The 19,159-nt window shown below is 35.6% G+C and overlaps 1 protein-coding gene across 10 annotated transcripts in view, besides 2 other annotated features; it reads left to right on the forward strand.

Moving 5' to 3' along the window:
* The window catches only part of AGBL3 (AGBL carboxypeptidase 3), a 149,271-nt gene that overhangs the window by 83,774 nt on the left and 46,338 nt on the right, over positions 1 to 19,159 (forward strand). For 9 of the 10 annotated variants that reach the window (NR_144293.1, NR_160300.1, NM_178563.4 and 6 more), the window contains 3 exons: positions 6,116 to 6,187; positions 9,922 to 9,979; positions 11,438 to 11,509. The exons of the other annotated variant lie outside the window; for it this stretch is intronic. Coding sequence is in view for 7 of the 9 variants with exons in the window: in NM_178563.4 (NP_848658.3) it covers positions 6,116 to 6,187; positions 9,922 to 9,979; positions 11,438 to 11,509 (202 nt within the window). In the remaining 2 variants the exon portion in view is untranslated. The remainder of the gene's footprint in view (positions 1 to 6,115; positions 6,188 to 9,921; positions 9,980 to 11,437; positions 11,510 to 19,159) is intronic. 10 annotated transcript variants of the gene reach the window in all.
* Positions 5,246 to 5,853: an enhancer, noted in NCBI's record as "OCT4-NANOG hESC enhancer chr7:134760279-134760886 (GRCh37/hg19 assembly coordinates)". NCBI's record gives its function as "activates a minimal SCP1, AML or CMV promoter by ChIP-STARR-seq in primed H9 embryonic stem cells {active_cell/tissue: H9 hESC(primed)}" and the evidence as "EXISTENCE:reporter gene assay evidence [ECO:0000049][PMID:30033119]".
* Positions 8,662 to 8,862: a silencer, noted in NCBI's record as "peak6750 fragment used in MPRA reporter construct". NCBI's record gives its function as "represses an SCP1 promoter by STARR-seq MPRAs in K562 erythroleukemia cells {active_cell/tissue: K562}" and the evidence as "EXISTENCE:reporter gene assay evidence [ECO:0000049][PMID:32103011]".

The following is a 19,159-nucleotide window of genomic DNA, read 5'->3' on the forward strand; positions in this document are numbered from 1 at the left end:
ATTCTACCAGATGTACAAGGAGGAGCTGGTACCATTCCTTCTGAAACTATTCCAATCACTAGAAAAAGAGGGAATCCTCCCTAACTCATTTTATGAGGCCAGCATCATCCTGATACCAAAGCTTGGCAGAGATACCACAAAAAAAGAGAATTTTAGACCAATATCCTTGATGAACATTGATACAAAAATCCTCAATAAAATACTGGCAAACCGAATCCAACAGCACATCAAAAAGCTTATCCACCATAATCAAGTGGGCTTCATCCCTGGGATGCAAGGCTGGTTCAACATATGCAAATCAATAAACGTAATCCAGCATATAAACAGAACCAACGACAAAAACCATATGATTATCTCAATAGATGCAGAAAAGGCCTTTGACAAAATTCGACAATGCTTCATGCTAAAAACTCTCAATAAATTAGGTATTGATGGGACGTATCTCAAAATAATAAGAGCTATCTATGACAAACCCACAGCCAATATCATACTGAATGGGCAAAAACTGGAAGCATTCCCTTTGAAAACTGGCACAAGACAGGGATGCCCTCTGTCACCACTCCTATTCAACATAGTGTTGGAAGTTCTGGCCAGGGCAATCAGGCAGGAGAAAGAAATAAAGGGTATTCAATTAGGAAAAGAGGAAGTCAAATTGTCCCTGTTTGCAGATGACATGATTGTATATCTAGAAAACCCCATTGTCTCAGCCCAAAATCTCCTTAAGCTGATAGGCAACTTCAGCAAAGTCTCAGGATACAAAATCAATGTGAAAAATTCACAAGCATTCTTATACAGCGATAACAGACAGAGAGCCAAATCATCAGTGAACTCCCATTCACAACTGCTTCAAAGAGAATAAAATACCTAGGAATCCAACTTACAAGGGACGTGAAGGACCTCTTCAAGGAGAACTACAAACCACTGCTCAATGAAATAAAAGAGGATACAAACAATGGAAGAACATTCCATGCTCATGGGTGGGAAGAATCAATATCGTGAAAATGGTAAATTTTCACCATTTTCATCGTGAAAATGGCAGAAATTACCATACTGCCCAAGGTAATTTGTAGATTCAATGCCATCCCCATCAAGTTACCAATGACTTTCTTCACAGAATTGGAAAAAACTACTTTAAAGTTCATATGGAACCAAAAAAGAGCCCGCATTGCCAAGTCAATCCTAAGCCAAAAGAACAAAGCTGGACGCATCACACTACCTGACTTCAAACTATACTACAAGGCTACATTAACCAAAACAGCATGGTACTGGTACCAAAACAGAGATATAGACCAATGGAACAGAACAGAGCCCTCAGAAATAGTGCAGCATAACTACAACTATCTGATCTTTGACAAACCTGACAAAAACAAGAAATGGGGAAAGGATTCCCTATTTAATAAATGGTGCTGGGAAAATTGGCTAGCCATATGTAGAAAGCTGAAACTGAATCTCTTCCTTACACCTTATACAAAAATTAATTCAAGATGGATTAAAGACTTAAATGTTAGACCTAAAACCATAAAAACCCTAGAAGAAAACCTAGGCAATACCATTCAGGACGTAGGCATGGGCAAGGACTTCATGTCTAAAACACCAAAAGCAATGGCAACAAAAGCCAAAATTGACAAATGGGATCTAATTAAACTAAAGAGCTTCTGCACAGCAAAAGAAACTACCATCAGAGTGAACAGGCAACCTATAGAATGGGAGAAAATTTTTGCAATCTAGTCATCTGACAAAGGGCTCATATCCAAAATCTACAATGAACTCAAACAAATTTACAAGAAAAAAACAAACAACCCCATCAAAAAGTGGGCGAAGGATATGAACAGACACTTCTCAAAAGAAGACATTTATGTAGCCAAAAGACACATGAAAAAAATGCTCATCATCACTGGCCATCAGAGAAAGGCAAATCAAAACCGCAATGAGATACCATCTCACACCAGTTAGAATGGCAATCATTAAAAAGTCAGGAAACAACAGGTGCTGGAGAGGATGTGGAGAAATAGGAACACTTTCACACTGTTGGTGGGAGTGTAAACTAGTTCAACCATTGTGGAAGTCAGTGTGGCAATTCCTCAGGGATCCAGAACTAGAAATACCATTTGACCCAGCCTTCCCATTACTGGGTATATACCCAGAGGATTATAAAACATGCTGCTATAAAGACACATGCACATGTATGTTTATTGCGGCACTATTCACAACAGCAAAGTCTTGGAACCAACCCAAATGTCCAACAATGATAGACTGGATTGAGAAAATGTGGCACATATACACCATAGAGTACTATGCAGCCATAAAAAATGATAAGTTCATGTCCTTTGTAGGGACATGGATGAAGCTGGAAACCATCATTCTCAGCAAACTATCACAAGGACAAAAAACCAAACACCGCATGTTCTCACTCATAGGTGGGAATTGAACAATGAGAACACATGGACACAGGAAGGGGAACATCACACACCGGGGCTTGTTGTGGAGTGGGGGAGGGGGGAGGGATAGCATTAGGAGATATACCTAATGTTAAATGACAAGTGAACAGGTGCAGCACACCAACATGGCACATGTATACATATGTAGCAAACCTTCACGTTGTGCATATGTACCCTAAAACTTAAAGTATAATAAAAATAAAAAATAAAAATAAAATTAAAAAAAATTTCAAAACAAAAAAGATGAGGGGTGTGTGTATGTGTATGTGTGTGTACATACTGGAATATCATTTAGTCTTTGAACCTGGAGGACATTATGCCCCGTAAAATAAGCCAAACACAGAAAGACAAATATTACATGATCTCACTTTTATGTGAAATCTAAAAAAGTGGACCTAATAGAGAATAGAAGGGTCATTACCAGGGGTCGGGGAGATGTTAGTCAAGGGTATAAACTTGCAGTTGTAGCCGGGCATGGTGGCTCATGCCTGTAATCCCAGCACTATGGGAGGCCGATGCAGGTGGATCACGAGGTCAGAAGTTCAAGACCAGCCTGGCCAACATAGTGAAACCCCGTCTCTACTAAAAATACAAAAAAAAATTAGCTGGGTGTGGTGGTGGGTGCCCGTAATCCCAGCTACGTGGGAGGCTGAGGCAAGGAAAATCACTTGAACTTGGGAAGTGCAGGTTGCAGTGAGTTGAGACTGTGCCACTGCACTCCAGCCCACGTGACAGTGCAAGACTCCGTCTCAAAATAAATAAATAAATAAATAAATAAATAAATAAATAAATAAACCTTGCAGTTTTAAGAGTGTAGTAGGAAGAGCCGCAGACAAAACCCCTCAGACACCAAGTTAAAGAAGGAAGGGGTTTATTCAGCTGGGAGCATTGGCAAGACTCCTGTCTCAAGAGCCGAGCTCCCCGAGTGAGCAATTCCTGTCCCTTTTAAGGGCTCACATCTCTAAGGGGGTCTGCATGATAGGGTCATGACCGATTGAGCAAGCAGGGGGTACGTGACTGGGGGCTACATACACCGGTAATTAGAAAGAAACTGAACAGGACAGGGATCTTCACAGTGCCTTTTTTATGCAAATAAGCGATTAGGTCAGGGGTCGATCTTTAACTACCAGGCCCAGGGTGCGGCGCCAGGCTGTTTGCTTGTGGATTTCATTTCTGCCTTTTAGTTTTTACTTCTTTCTTTGGAGGCAGAAATTGGGCATAAGACAATATGAGGGGTGGTCTCCTCCCTTAAGATGAATACATTTTGAAGACCTAATGTACAATGTGGTGACTATAGTTAATAATATTGTATTGTATACTTGAAATTTGCTGAGAATGGGTCTTAAGTATTCTCATCACGAAAAGCAAAATAAGTGGTAACTATGTGAGGTGATACGTGTGTTAATTAGCTTGATTGTGGTAATAATTTCAAAATGTATACTTAAAACATCATGTACACCTTAAATATATACAATTTTTATTTGTCAGTTTAGACCTCAATAAAGCTAGAGGGAAAAAAGCAAAGATGATTCTTATCAGGCTGGTTTAGACATGTGTCAACCCATAAATCACTCACTGTGACTAACAGGATAGACTGTGCTGATTGGCATCAGCCTGGGTTATTTGACAAACCCTCATAGCATTCACCCAGACTTCAAGAACTGAGAGTGGGTAGGATTAAATTCTCTAACAAAATTTAAGACAGTTGCCAGAAGAAGAGGGAATGGGTTCTGGGGACATGAACAACAAATTTGGACAAAGTCCAAATTCAAAAAAATTTTAAACAATCACATAGCACAAGAACAAGTGTTTTACCTCCTCCCATATTCTCTGCTGTGCCATCACATTCTCCCTTTCCCTCCATTTGCCAATCTTTCCCTCTCTCCTCTCTCCACTCTCAATACTTTAAAGGATTATACTCAAATATTCCTGTGGGTTTGTTAAAATACCATGCAAGTCTTTATTTCACAAACACCTCCTCTTTCCAAGTTATGTATATCAGGACACTCATGGATAAATATTCATACCCATGCCCACAATTCAGGCAGTTATGCATACACACACACCCTCTGGAGTAAAAAATAACAGTAAAAAGAACAAGTTTGTATTCTGTGTGGTCATTTTCAAAAACTAAATGAATCCCTACAATGGTCAGATATTGATTATGTGCCGTATTTTGAGTATAGGCATCTTTATCAAGATATTTTTCTAGCATTATAAAAATGTTAACTTTTAAAGAATAAACAGATGAAACATAATACCAATTAAATTCTAACTTTTAAAAATTAAACTTTTAATTTTGATTAACTTGCTGTTGTAAGAAATAATTCAGAGAGATGCCAGGGACCCTGTTTTCTGTTTCCCCTAATGGTAACATCTTACAAAATTACAGTGCCATGTTACAATAAGGCTATTTATATTCATGCAGTCAAAATGCTGACCATTTCCATGATCATAAGGATCCCTCATATTGCCCTCTTAAAGCCATACCCACTCCCTCCTGTCCTTACCTTGCAGTTATCCCCTGGCAACCACAAATCTGTTCCGCATTTCTGTAAATGTATCATTCACAAATGTTTTTTCACATCCCTGTGAAATCACACAATATGTAACGTGCTGGGATTGGCTTTTATCAGTTGGCATACTTCTTGGAATACTTATCCCCCACCCCCAAGTTGATGCATACATCCATAGTTTCTTCCTTTTTATTTCTGTGCAGTATTCCGTGATATGGATTTACCACAGCCTATTTAACCATTCACCTGTTGAAGAACATGTGGGTTGTTTTCAGTTTGGGGCCATTATGAACATAACATTAGTGTACAGGTTTATGTGAAATAAGTCTTCATTTCCCTGAGATAAAAACCCAGGAGTTCAATTGGTAGGTGGTATGGTAGTTATGGTACATACATGTTTAATTCTTTAATTGACTGCCAAACTGTTTTCCAAAATGGATGTACAATTTTCCCTTCCCAAGAACAGTTTATGAGTAATCCGTTTTCTGTGCATCCTCACCAAAATTTGGTATTGTCACTATTTTCTATTTTAGCCATTCTGACAAGTGCGTTATCTCATTGTGGTTTTAATTTGCATTTCCATAACAGTTAAACGATGTTGAATATCTTTTCACATGCTTATTTGCCTGGCCCCCTGCTTAGCCTTCACTGACACTACCTTGAAAAAGGGGTTGGGGCGCTCCCACTGGGCTTGTGTTGGCATGGGTGGGTGTGGGAATCACAGTCATTTCTGTGGTGTTAGGCTGGAGTAGAACAGTTAACTATCTAAAAGGTTTTGGTCTCTTTAGGCTGTCCTTCTCCTGGTCCTTGGGCTAGAAGGAACAGGCTTATGTAGGGATTTTTTTAAATTGCATTCACTGGCATTTCTGGGTTGCTGGCCTCTCCAGCTTTAAAGCGAGAATATATGAAGCAAAAAGAAAACCCAGTGAACTCATCATCATGCCACTCTTCTGGCCTTGAACTCCCTAGCTAGTCTGTCTTCTCCTTTCCATCTTTTAGAGCTTCTTATATGATACCCAGAATTTTTGGTTGTACTTAGTGGGAGGAATAAAGTACTTCTCATCTTCTTAGAAGTGGGAATCTCGAAACAATTTCATGTCTGCATATGTACTCTTTGATATGTTGATTAAATATTGATTTTAAGTATGATTCTTTTACTAGAAAAAACATTTGAAAACAAAGAAGGAAAGGAATTCTACCATAGCAAGCCACCAAAATGCCAGAGGACAAGAGGTAAATCTTCATTAATCTAGTTATTAAGGTTTTTTTAAATGAATGAAAGAGAATGGCAAGTTATTTTCTCTTATACTTCTTATACCCGAATTTTCCCCCAGGAGAAGTTAAAATTTTGTTCATATTATCTACTGTTTATAAAAACACAAAAGATCTTTGACAGATGAGAGGTGGGCCTTATTAAGATGCCATATTTAAATTTCATTTATACTTTTACCTTACTCTAAAAAGTATTTGAGGAAGCTTACAAAGATGCATCCAGGGTAGCAAGAATAAAGAAATTAAAACTAAGAAAAATTAACTGGGAATATAAGGGTATAAAAATAAAAACAGTGGTACTGAAACATCAGCTTCTACCATGACAACAGGAAGAGCTCTGCAAACCCATTCACCAGCAAAACTAGTGAAATTATCCACAACAACAACAACAAACAACAACAGATATTTAAAGTCTCTGAAATGGTCTTAAGGTTATACAGCAAATGAAACAAAAATTTATTCAAGAAAGTCTACTAAAATTCATTAAAAACTGTGAGAGCCTGTGGTATTTCAATCAAGACTGCCTCTTCCTCTACCCCCACCCGACTCTGCAGCTCGGTAAGACAGAAACTCCACACTAGTGTAGACAAGAAATTAGGGCTCCCTCTCCCCAGAGCTACCAAAGGGCTATCCCAGGAGGGGGAGGATATCAGTATGTCTTATTCTTCCCCCTGCTGTCTGTTGCTAACTCAGGTGAGTGCGGACAAGAGATGGGGGCTCCCTTCCTCTCCCAGTCCCCGTACATGAGACAGAGGCTCTACTTCAGGTGCTCCACCACTGAGCATTCTTGGGCTCTGCTTGCCCTTATCTTGGTTTGTAAAATGATGGTTCCACACTGGGAGAGGCAAATGGAGGAAACCTAAGTCTACTGCCTCCCCTCCACCTACAGTTCATCTCCTAAAGCAGGGTATCACTTGGAGGGAAGAGTGCCATTTCCTCCATCCCCAGCTCATAAGCCATAGCTTATAAATTTTGCCCTGATGAAAAACTAGGTCACAAAACAGATAGCTCCTAATCTTTTCCAGAAAAAGAGAAGTTAAGCTTAAGGACAGTCTCAAAAGCAGTGCAATTATGGCTTAAAAAAAAATTCTGGAGGACAAATATATTACTGGTGGAAGTTATCTTACCAGCAGCAAATCCGTACAGGTCTGCAGCAACATCAATTCTTGCCTTCCACTCCTGCCCTAAAACTTGCCTCAGTCTCTTTTTCTGCCTTTATGCCCCTGAGTCAAATCTTAAAACGTTCACATACCAGTTAAACTCGGCCATTTTGTTTCTTAATGCGCATGCTCGAGCTCACTCCTGAGATCTCATCAGGAAGCGGCTGATCACCAGTCTCAGGTGTTTCCTATCTGTAGAAAGACTGCCTTTCCCTGCTGCTGGCTGCAACCAATTATTATTTTAGAGAGACAGTTAACAACCGCCTGACCATCACCTGATGCCTGACATTCCTGGTGGGGTTTTGGTGGAGCCCTCTCCTGCCCACTGATGCCTGATTAGCTACCTACTGCAACAACACTGGTAGATTCATTGGAGCTACAAGCTAAACTGAATACTGACTAGTTTTCCAGAGAGAACTGGAGAAAGAGACAGCTAGGAGGAGCCTTACTGGAGTCAGAAAAAATCTTAAACACTGACCTCTGCAACTATCCTTTTGAAGAAGTTTGACTGGATTAGTCTGAAGAGCAGAGCTGAATGTGGTCAGGGAAAGAGACAGAGAGCCCTGCCTTAGCACTGTCATCCCAAGTGAATGTGGATATACCTAAGTCTGTACCCCTGAGGACCAACATCAGAGGCTTAGTACTGCAGGGAGCAGAGATGGCTATAAAGGAGTAATGCTCCTTTTCCTCTGCTCTCTCTTCTAGAATTACATTATTTCAGGAATGTAATATGAATAGGAATTAAAATTTTATTTATGGTAAACAAATCCTCTAATTGTTACCCCTGTGTTAAGTCATTTGCAGGACCCAATAACCAAAATAGGTTTTTGTTAGGGGATTTTTTTTTAATGTATATATTGCAAGACACATATTTATTTAGTTCTCATAAATATATCCACAGAGTGGTTTTCCTCACGTATCCAAGCTACATTTAATGTAAAATATTATAAATCCCTTTATATTAAATGCTCATGTATTTGCGTCTTTCTTGATTGGAGCTTTTAAAATTGTATGAAATCATTATATTTAATGTTAGATACTTCCAAATGGAAAATAATCTTCATTTGGTCAAATGCTTTGAGAAAGTTGCATACATTCTAAGTGTGCCCATAAGCTAATAGCAGATTGTGGTCACTTACCTTGAAATTCCTACTCCTCTTTCACAAAAAGAGTGAACAATCTCACTTTCACTCAGGTAAATGGCTGAGGGCAACTTAAATTCATGCTCTCGAACTGACTATTTCTTACTTGGTTTGCTTATAAGAAGACATCAATACATCCCTAAAATAATATTGGCAAATTATTTTAAAAATATTTCAGTTAACTTTGTTTCCCACCAAGACACTCTTACTTGTTGATTCTGAAGAATTTCAGCACAAACAATTATATATTACTGTGGTCAGAAATTGTAGCTCATGTACATAAGATCACTGACCTGGTGATATTTTTCTGTAGGATTGAATGTAACAGTTTATTATGGTTCACAGAATCATTTCACTTAAGAGATGGGAGCTAAAAATGACAAGAGTTTATCAAATCAAGTCTTACTAATTTTCTTCAGCCTGATTTCACTCCTTGTCTTGCTAGTGATTGCATAATATCACTACTTTTAAATTTGTGTAATTTTTTCTAGAATGTTTCTTCCTTTCTTCAATAATCAAATTTTGATTTTTACAGTTTTCTCCCATTTTCATACTGATTTTGCCCATTTTTTTGCTGCCAATCAATTATATATATGAAGAGGTGGGTTTGAGCTTTTAACTCCATTTCATAGTCTACTTTTATTGTGGGTTGTTTTTGTTTTTGTTTTGTTTTTGAGACGGAGTCTAGCTCTGTCGCCCAGGCTGGAGTGCAGTGGCGCCATGTCAGCTCACTGCAACCTCTGCCTCCCGGGTTTAAGCAATTCTCCTGCCTCAGCCTTCCAAGTAGCTGGGATTACAGGTGACTGCCACCACTCCCCACTAATTTTTTTTTTTTTTCGGTAGAGGCGGGGTTTCACCATGTTGGCCAGGCTTGTCTCGAACTCCTGACCTCAAGTGATCTGCCCGCCTTGGCCTCCCTAAGTACTGGGATTACAGATGTGTACCGTGCCCAGCCTCATCTTTTTATACATAAGCACAGTTTTGCAATCTGTTTATATATTTTACATAATTTTATATCTTTTCACCCATTTCACACTTTTATCTTCCCATGTTTGTTGTTCTAATTTAAATAAGTGAGATTATAAGAATACCATTTTTTTGTCTCTTTCTCATTATAAATACATTCTATGTGATGTGGAAAATTTTTAAGCCCCCTTTACTGCCAAAATATAGTATCAATATTTTCTTCTACTCATTGATGCAGGAGAAAAGTAGCGTAGGGAAAAATATTAGAAGACTCTGATTTATAAGATAATTTTGGTCATTCTAAACCTGTAAGGATGAAATGAGAAATATTTGTTAAAAATGCACAATACCATAAATCATATAGGAAATATACCCCATTTCATGTTGATAAAATAGCATTGTTTTCTTTGATTCTACATTCCATTAGGTTTATGATAGAGGGCATTTGCTGCAAAGACACACACAATCAAATTCTGATGTGAAAGGTAATATTCTGCTTCTACCTTCTCATAAACAATTAATTCATTTACTCAACTAAGAATTTTTGGTGCCACAACTTTGAGGTTGCCACTGTGCTTGGTGCTAGGGATATTAAATGTATATGATACCATTTCTTCCCTGCAGGACCTCATCCTTTAATCAGGAAAGAAACAACAACAATCCAAGCGCAGTGTCATAGACACAATGCCAGTAGTCTGTTCAGGGTTCCCAGGGAGCAGAGAGAAAGGAGTGGTCAATTACATTGGAGAATAGAGAGGTCCACGTATTTCAGGGCTATCCCTAAGGTTTTGAAAGGCTTGCCCCCAAAGGGAAAGGCATTTATGTTTTAAAACCCATCTTTTCCCTCTCATTTTGTAATTTAGTAGAAGATAAGCCCAGGAGAGAAATTAATTCATAGACTGTTCATTGGCTTCTACTGCAACCTGCTAAGTCTGATGTGAATCTTTAACTGACTCTCTAGCATCTCTGTTTTTTTTTTTTTTTCTTAATTCTGTCATTTTATCTTTAGTTGAGGTCCTTTGGCAGGGGGAATCATATAATTTAAGCAATATTTTGATTTTATCTAAAATACCTAATTTTTTATGTGTGTGTGTATATATATATATATTAATTTATTGTACATTTTTATCTACCTATTTCCCAAAAGGATTTGAGGTAACCTAATTACACACACACACACACACTCATATATCCATTTAGTTTATGATGTAGCAAAATAATTAAAAATATAAGTGGAGATAAGAACCTAAGAACCATGCCTAGGAAAGGGAAGAATACTATTATAATTAAAATAGTCAATTCACTTAAACTTTATTTTTTCTGATAATGGTCAGCTAGGCATATTCAGCGGCTTTTTATAAGTAACTTTTATGTATTCTTTTGTTAACATTTTAATGTCAAAAATTAAAAATAAAGATAAGCAAAAGAAAGTAAACATTACATTTTAGAATATTTATTTTAAACGCGTTCCTATATTTATCCACATACACACCATGTTAATGAATCACATAATCATCGCATTATTTTGCAACCTACTTTTTAATTTTAAATTACAGTATATTATAAACCTCTTTATATGTAAATAAATGGTGGCAAAGTATTCCATTCTATTAAGCCACCCCCAGTGTTAAACTTACATTTTGTTTCCAAATTTTTTCCTATTGTAAACAACAATGAAAACTTTATAACTGTCTATTTGTGTGTTTTCTTATTTCTTTATAACAAATTCCTAGAAAAGGAATTGCTGGCCCAAAAGGTATGAACATTTTTAAATGCAACAAAAATTTGTAACATTTGAAGACTGCTTATTTTAATTTCATTGAACTAAACTACTGTCTACAAGTTATTTACTAGCATTTTCCACTTTGAAAAAAGATGAAAAATATGAAATGTAAATGGGCGAGTTATTTTCATGCTACTATGATCTTTATCATCTTCTCTAGATACAAGGCCAAATGAACCAGATGATTATATGGTTGATTATTTCAGAAGACAATTACCTAATCAAGGTTTGGGTGAGTAAAATAGGAACACAGACAGTAATGAGTGGTCCCCTATGATCTGAATGTTATTTTTCTCTCTAGCTCTAGAAATACACAGGGGAAACAGTAGAAATTTACTGTATGTCAATTTGCTTTTAATTTTACCCAGTCAAAACCAAAACAAAAGAATATTCATCTCATTGTCTAATCTTTTCATTCCCATCTCACCAAATCTTAGAGCAGAGAGAAACCTTGAGAATGCTCTAGTTTCACCTTCTGCCCATGACAGGCCCCAGGCTCATCCAACCTCTGGTTGACTACACTTGGTGACAAGTACTTTACTAAATTGCAATATAATTCATTCCATTGCTAAAGAGCTGTAGCATTGAAAAAGTTTACTTTCAATAAACTTTAACAGTAAAAAGTTTAAAATATGTGTCCTTGTAAATTTCATCCACTTCTTTTAATCTGTCCTCTCTAATAACACAAAATAGTGAAGAAACCTTAAAGGTAAATAATTCCAACTGACTCATTTTCCCCAATTCTCCTTGAAATAATGCAATTGTAATACCTTCTCTATTTTTTAAAAAGCTGTCATTTATTTCCCTGAAATTTTCCGTTTCTTTCAACCATCCATAAAACACCGTGATTCAAGTCCCTTTACCATTTTATTTTACTCTTTTTTATTGCTATTCAAGCTTAAATGAAACTGAACACAGTATTGCAGATGTTGTCTAATGAGTGCAAAATATATCTTTATTTTTATTTGCTCCTTTATAGATACTAGTTTTCCATTAATGCAGTTTAAGATTATATTTCTTCTTTTGAAAATTATTCTAAAATCTTGACATATTGGATTTCACATATTCAAACCTTTAACGTTTTATTTTCATAGTGCTACCGCTAAGTTGTATCTCCTCCATTCTCTACTTCTTCACTTATTATTTGGTTCATTGTGCTTGACCTTAAATTTATTCCTGTTAAATTTAAATTTAACCTTCTTAGGTTCGGCCTTTCATGAACTATTATGTCATATTGTTATACTATATATATATGCATGTGTGAATACATATATGTATGTGTATATATACATATACATAGATACATGTATTTGACCTCTTGTCAAAGCTTCAGACCCTGTAGGTAACTATCTGCTATACATCTCCACACAGATGTCCCACATATCCAAATTCAAATTCATCTAATTCCACACTAAATGCTCTTCCTCACATATTCTCAATAACATTGATGGCAGTACTATCTCCATAACCACTCCAGCTACAAATCTGATTGGTATCCTTTTTTCTCGCTTTCACTTCTGTCCCTCATATCCAGTCAGCCACTGAATATGTATGATTTTACCTCAGAATCTCTTTTTCTCTATCTTAACTACCATCATTACCATCATTCTTTTCAGATTCTTATCATCATCCACTTACCAGGAGTTCTGTAGTTTTCTAGTCAGTCTCCCTGCCACCAATATTGTCATTCTAATTACACCCTTCATACTACCATCAAAGTGATTTACCAGAAACACAAATCTGACTATACAACCTCACCACCTAAAAAAGCCTTTTAGTGATTCCCAGTCATCTAACAGGGGTTGGACTGACACTGCCCTAAGACTGGCACTGCCTTTTCTTTAGGCTTTCTCTTTCTCATTTTAATTTCTTTTTACATTTAATTTTAAAATAATTTCAAGAATAGTAAAAAAAACTTTCTCTCTCTCTCTATTAATCAATCTATCTTTTTTCCCATTATCCATTCTCTAAGAAAAAGAACATTCTCTTACATTAAAATCAGGAAATTCAACTTGATACAACACTATTTTGTATCGTATATAATTCAGTTTTGCCAAATATCCCAATAGTGTTCTTTAGAGCAAACTTACTATCTAATTCAAGGTGTAATACGGGATCATGAATTGCATTGAATTATCATATTTCTTTATTCTCTTAATTTGGAACATTGGCTCAGCCTTTCTTTGTCATTCACAACACTGTCATTTTTAAAGATTACTGGCAAGTTGTCTTATAGAATATCTGGTTTTAAAATTTTAGTGAACAAAAGAATTACCAAAAGAGTTTATGTAAATCTCAGCTTCTGACCGAGTAGGTCTTTGATGTCACCCCATAATTTGTATTGTTTATATGGGATTTCAGATAATTCTGGCATTGATGACTTGCAGACCACACTTTGCAAGTTACCACTATGGGGGCCACAGTGAAAATCGGTTGGAGGCCAAGCAGTTGGGGCCCAGCCCATCCAACCTTTTTCATCTTGAATAGCTTTCTTATGTAATTTTCTTTCAATAATGGTCTATTACTCAAAATTTTTTCCTTTATTATTTTTAATTGACATAATAATTGTACCAAACCTGTTTCATCCTGAATAGTTTTCTTATGCAATGTTTCTTTCAATAATGGTCTATAACTCGAAATTTTTTCCTTTTATTATTATTTTTAGTTGATGTAATAATTGTACATATGGGGTACAGTGTGATATTTTGATACATGTATACAATGTATAATGATCAAATTGAGGTAATTAGCATCACCTCAAACAGTTATCATTTCTTTGTGTTTGGTACATTCAAAATCTGCTCTCCTAGCTATTTGAAAATACACAATAAATTGTTAATTATACTCACCCTATAGTTCTATGGAACACTAGTCCCTATTCCTCCTATGTAGCTGTAATTAGTATCTGTTAAGCAACCTTTGACTATCCTTTCCACCCCTCTATCCTTCTCTGCTTCTATTAACCACTATTCTATACTCTCTACTTCTATGAGATCAACATTTTAAGCTTCTACATATGAATGAGAACATGCAGTATTTATCTTCCTGTGGCTGGCTTATTTCACTTAACATAATGTCCTCCAAGCTCATCAATGTTGCCACAGATGACAGAATTTTGTTCTTTTTTATGGTTAAATACTATTCCATTGTGTATATATACCATATTTTCTTTATCATTTCATCTGTTGATGGACACTTAGGTTGATTCCATATCTTGGTTGTTGTGAATAGTGCTGCAATGACCATGAGAGTGCAGATATCTCTTTGACATACTGATTTCCTTCCTTTTGGATATATACCCAGTAGTGGGATTGCTGTATCATATGGTAGTTCTGTTTTTAGTTTTCTGGGTAACCTCCATATTATTCTCCATAATGACTGCACAAATTTGCATTCCCACCAAAAGTGTGCAGGGATTCCCTTTTCTCTACATCCTCTCCAATACTTGTTATCTTTTATCTTTTTGATAATAGCTATTCTAACAGATATGAGACCATATCTCCTTGTGGTTTTAATTTGCATATCTCTGATGATTAGTGCTGTTGAGCATTGTTCCATATACCTGTTGGCCATTTGTATGTCTTCTTTTTCAGAGATATCTATTCAGCTCATTTGCCCATTTTTAAAGTAGGTTATTTTTGTTTGTTTATTTTTGCTATTGAGGTAATTCCCTTATATATTCTGGATATTAATCCCTTGTCAGATAGTTTGCAAATGTTTTCTCCCATTCTGCAGGTTATCTCTTGATTATCTGTTGATTGGTTCCTTTGCTGTGCAAAAGATTTTCAGTTTGATAGAATTCCATTTGCCTATATTTGCTTTAGTTGCCTGGGCTTTTGAGGTCTTCTCCATAAAATCTTTCATCAGACCAATGTCCTGAAGCATTTCCTTTGTGTTTTCTTCTGGTAGTTTCATAGTTTGGGGTCTTACATTTAAGTTCTTAGTCCATTTTGAATTGACCTTTTTTATGGTGAGAGATAGGAGTCCAGTTTCATTTTTCTGTGTATTGATATCTAGCTCTCCTGGCACAGTTTATTGAAGAGATTATCATTCCCCTATGAATGTTCTTGGCACCTTTGTCAAATATCAGTTGTCTGTAAATAAGTAGATTTATTTTGGGGTTCTCTGTTCTGTCTCATTGGTCTACATATCTGTTTTTATGTTTTTAACCATTCTGGTTTGATTACTATTGCCTTCATTTTGAAGTCTGGTAGTGTGATGCCTCCAGCTTTATTCCTTTTGCTCAGGATTTGCTTTTGCTATTTGGGGTCTTCCATGGTTCTGCACAAATTTTAGGATTGTTTTTTCCATTTCTGTGAAGAATGTTATTGGTATTTTGATAGGGAGTGCATTGAATGAACAGATAACTTTGGATAGTATGGACATTTTCACAATATTAAGTCTTCCAATCCATGAACATGAGATGTCTATTTGTATCCTCCTCAATTTTTTTCATCAGTGTTGTATAGTTTTCCTTGTAGAGATATTTCACCTCTTTGGCTAAATTTATTCCTACATATTATTTTTTGTAGCTATTGTAAATGGGATTGTTTTTCTTGATTTCTTGTTTTGATGGTTTATTCTTGGGGTATAGAAATACCACTGATCTTTGTATGCTGGTTTTGTATCCAACTTTACTAAATTTATCAGTTCTAGGAGTATTTGATAGAGCCTTTAGGGTTTTCTGTATATAAGATCATGTCATCTGCAAACAGGGACAATTTGACTTCCTTCTTTCCAATTTGGATGCCCTTTATTTCTTTCTCTTGCCTGTTTGCTTTGGCCAGAACTTTCATTACTATGTTGAACAAAAGTAAGCATCATTATCTTGTCCCACATCTTAGGGGAAAAGCTTTCAACTTTTCCTCATTCAGCATGATATTGGGTGCGGGTTTGTCTTGTATGGCCTTTACTGTGTTGAGGTACATTCCTTCCATACCTTATTTGGTGAGAGTTTTTGTCACAAAAAGATGTTGAATTTTATCAAATGCTTTTTCTGCATATATTGAGATGATCATAGGGTTTTTGTCCTCCATCCTGTTGATGTGATGTATCACATTTATTAATGTATCACATTTATTAATATGTGTATATTGATTCATCCTTGCATCCCTCGGATGAATCCCACTTGATCATGGTGAATAATTTTTTTCAATGTGCTGCTGGGTTTAGGAGATTTGGTTTGTTAGTATTTTTTTGAGGACTTTTACGTCTTTATTTATCAAGAACATAGGCCAATAGGTTTCTTTTGTTGTTGTTGTTGCGTCCTTGTCTGGTTGATACCAGGGTAATATTGGTCACACAGAATAAGTTTGGAAGAATTTCCTCATCTTCAATTTTCTAAAAGAGTTTGAGAAGAACTGGTATTTGTTCTTCTTTAAATGTTTGGTAGAATTCTACAGTGATGTAATCAAGTCCTGGGGTTTTCTTCAATGGAAGACTTTTTATTACAGATTCAATCATTACTCATAATTGGTCTGTTTGGGTTTTCTATTTCTTCTTTGCTTAATCTTAGTAGATTGTATGTGTCTAGAAATTTATTCATTTCTGCTAAGTTTTCTAATTTGTTGGAGTACAGTTGTTTGTAATGGTCTCCAATGATCCTTGTATTTCCGTGTTATCAGTTGTAACGTCTTTTTCATTCTGATTTTATTTGGGTCTTTTCTTTTTTTCTCTTGGTTATTCTAGCTAATGTTTTGTTGATTTTATCTTTCAAAAAAAACCAACTTTTCATTTCATTGATCTTTTATAATTTTTAATCTCAATTTCATATACTCTGTTCTGATCTTTATTATTTCTTTCCTTCTACTAATTTTTGGTTTGGTTTGTTCCTGCTTTTCTAGTTCCTTGTGTTACATAATTAGGTTGTTTATTTGAAATCTTTCTACTTTTTGGATATAGGCATTTATTGCTATAAACTTTCCTCTTAGTGCTGCTGTTGCTATATCCTATAGGTTTTGGTATGTTGTGTTTCTATTTACATTGGTTTCAATACATTTTTTAATTTCCTTTTTACTGTCTTCAGTAGTTATTCAGAAGTATGTTGTCTAATTTCCATGTAACTATACAATTTTGAAAGTTCTTCTTGTTATTGACTTCTAGTTTCATTCCTTTGTGGTCAGAAAAGATACTTGATATTATTTCAGTTATTTTAAATTTCTTGAAAATTATTTCGTTCCCTAACGTAAGTCTTAGAGGATATTCCATGTGCTGATGGAAGGAATGTGTATTCTGCACCTGTTGGATGAAATGTTCTTAAATGTTTATTAGGTTCATTTGTTCTAAAGTGCAGTTTAAGTTCAATGTTTCTTTTTTATTTTCTGACTAGATGATCTGTCCAGTGATGACAGTGATGTGTTAAAGTCCTCTTTGATATTATTATATCAAATTCTATCTCTCCCTTTAGATCTAATAATATTTGCTTTATGTTTCTGGGTGCTCCAGTGTGGGGTGCATATGTATTCACAATCATTATATCTTCTTATTGAGTTGATCCTTTATCCTTATAACCTTCTTTGTCTCTTGTTTACAGTTTTTGACTTAAAGTCTGTTTTATCTGATATAAGTATAGATACTTCTGCTCACTTTTGGTTTCTGTTTGTGTGGAATATTTTTTCCATCCCTTCAGTTCAGCCTAAATGTGTCTTTATGGTGAAATAAGTTTCCCGTAGGCAGCATATAGTTGGTTTTTAAAATCCATTCAGTCTATATCTTTTAAGTGGGGAATTTAATTCACTTACATTTAAGGTTTTTATTAATAGGTGAGGACATACTCCTATATTTTGTTGTTTTCTGGTTGTTTTGTACATCCATTGATCCTTTCCTTCTCTCTTATTGTTTATCATTGTCATTTAATGGTTTTCTATACTGATAAGGTTTAATTCTTTTCTCTCTTTTGTGTATCTGTTCTGCCAGTGAGTTTTATACTTTTATATGTTTTAATGATAGTGATTATTATCTTTTTCCTTCCAAATGTAGTATTCCCTAGATTATTTCTTGTAAGACCAGTCTAGTGGTGATAAATTACTTCAGTTTTTGCTTGTCTATGACAGACTTTATTTATCTGAAGGATAGCTTTGCTGGGTCTCATATTCTTGACTGGCAATTTTTTTTCATTCTGCACTTTGAATTTATCATCCCATTCTCTTCTAGCCTGTAAAGTTTCTGCAAAGAAATCTGCTGTTAGTCTAATGATGATTCCCTTGTGTGTGACTTGATGCTTTTCTCTTGCTGTTTGTAGAATTCTTTGTTCTTGACTTTTGACAATATGACTGTAATGTGCCTTGGTGAGGACCTTTTTCCAGTTAAGTCTATTTGGGAAACTTTGAGTTTCCTGGATCTGGATCTCATATGTCTCCCCGGACTTGGGAAGTTTTCAGCTATTATTTCAAGAAATTGGTTTTCTATACCTTTCCCTTCTCTTCTCCTTCTCTAACTCCCATGATATGAATATTTGTTTGCTTAATGGTGTCCCATATGTCTTGCAGGTTTTCTTCACTGTTTTTCATTCTTTTTTTTTTTCCTCTTACTGAGTATTTCAGACTACCTGTCTTTAAGTTCAGAGATTCTTTCTTCTGCTTAAATCTGCCATCAAAGCTCTTTATTGTAATTTTTATTTCATTCATTGAATGTTTCAGCTGTGATATTTCTTTTTTATTATATCTATTTATGTTGAATTTCTTATTCACATTATGAACTGTTTTCCTAATTTCACTGAATTATCTGTCTGTATTTTCTTGTATCTCATTGAGTTTCCTCAATTTCTCATTGAATTCTTTTTCCAGCAATTTGTTGATTTCCTTTTCATGGGAGTCTGTTATTAGAAAGCTATTATGGCTCTTTAGTGGTGTCATATTTCCTTGCTTTTTAGTGTTGCTTGTGT

Source organism: Homo sapiens, chromosome 7 (assembly GCF_000001405.40).
Source record: "Homo sapiens chromosome 7, GRCh38.p14 Primary Assembly".
Taxonomy (NCBI): domain Eukaryota; kingdom Metazoa; phylum Chordata; class Mammalia; order Primates; family Hominidae; genus Homo; species Homo sapiens.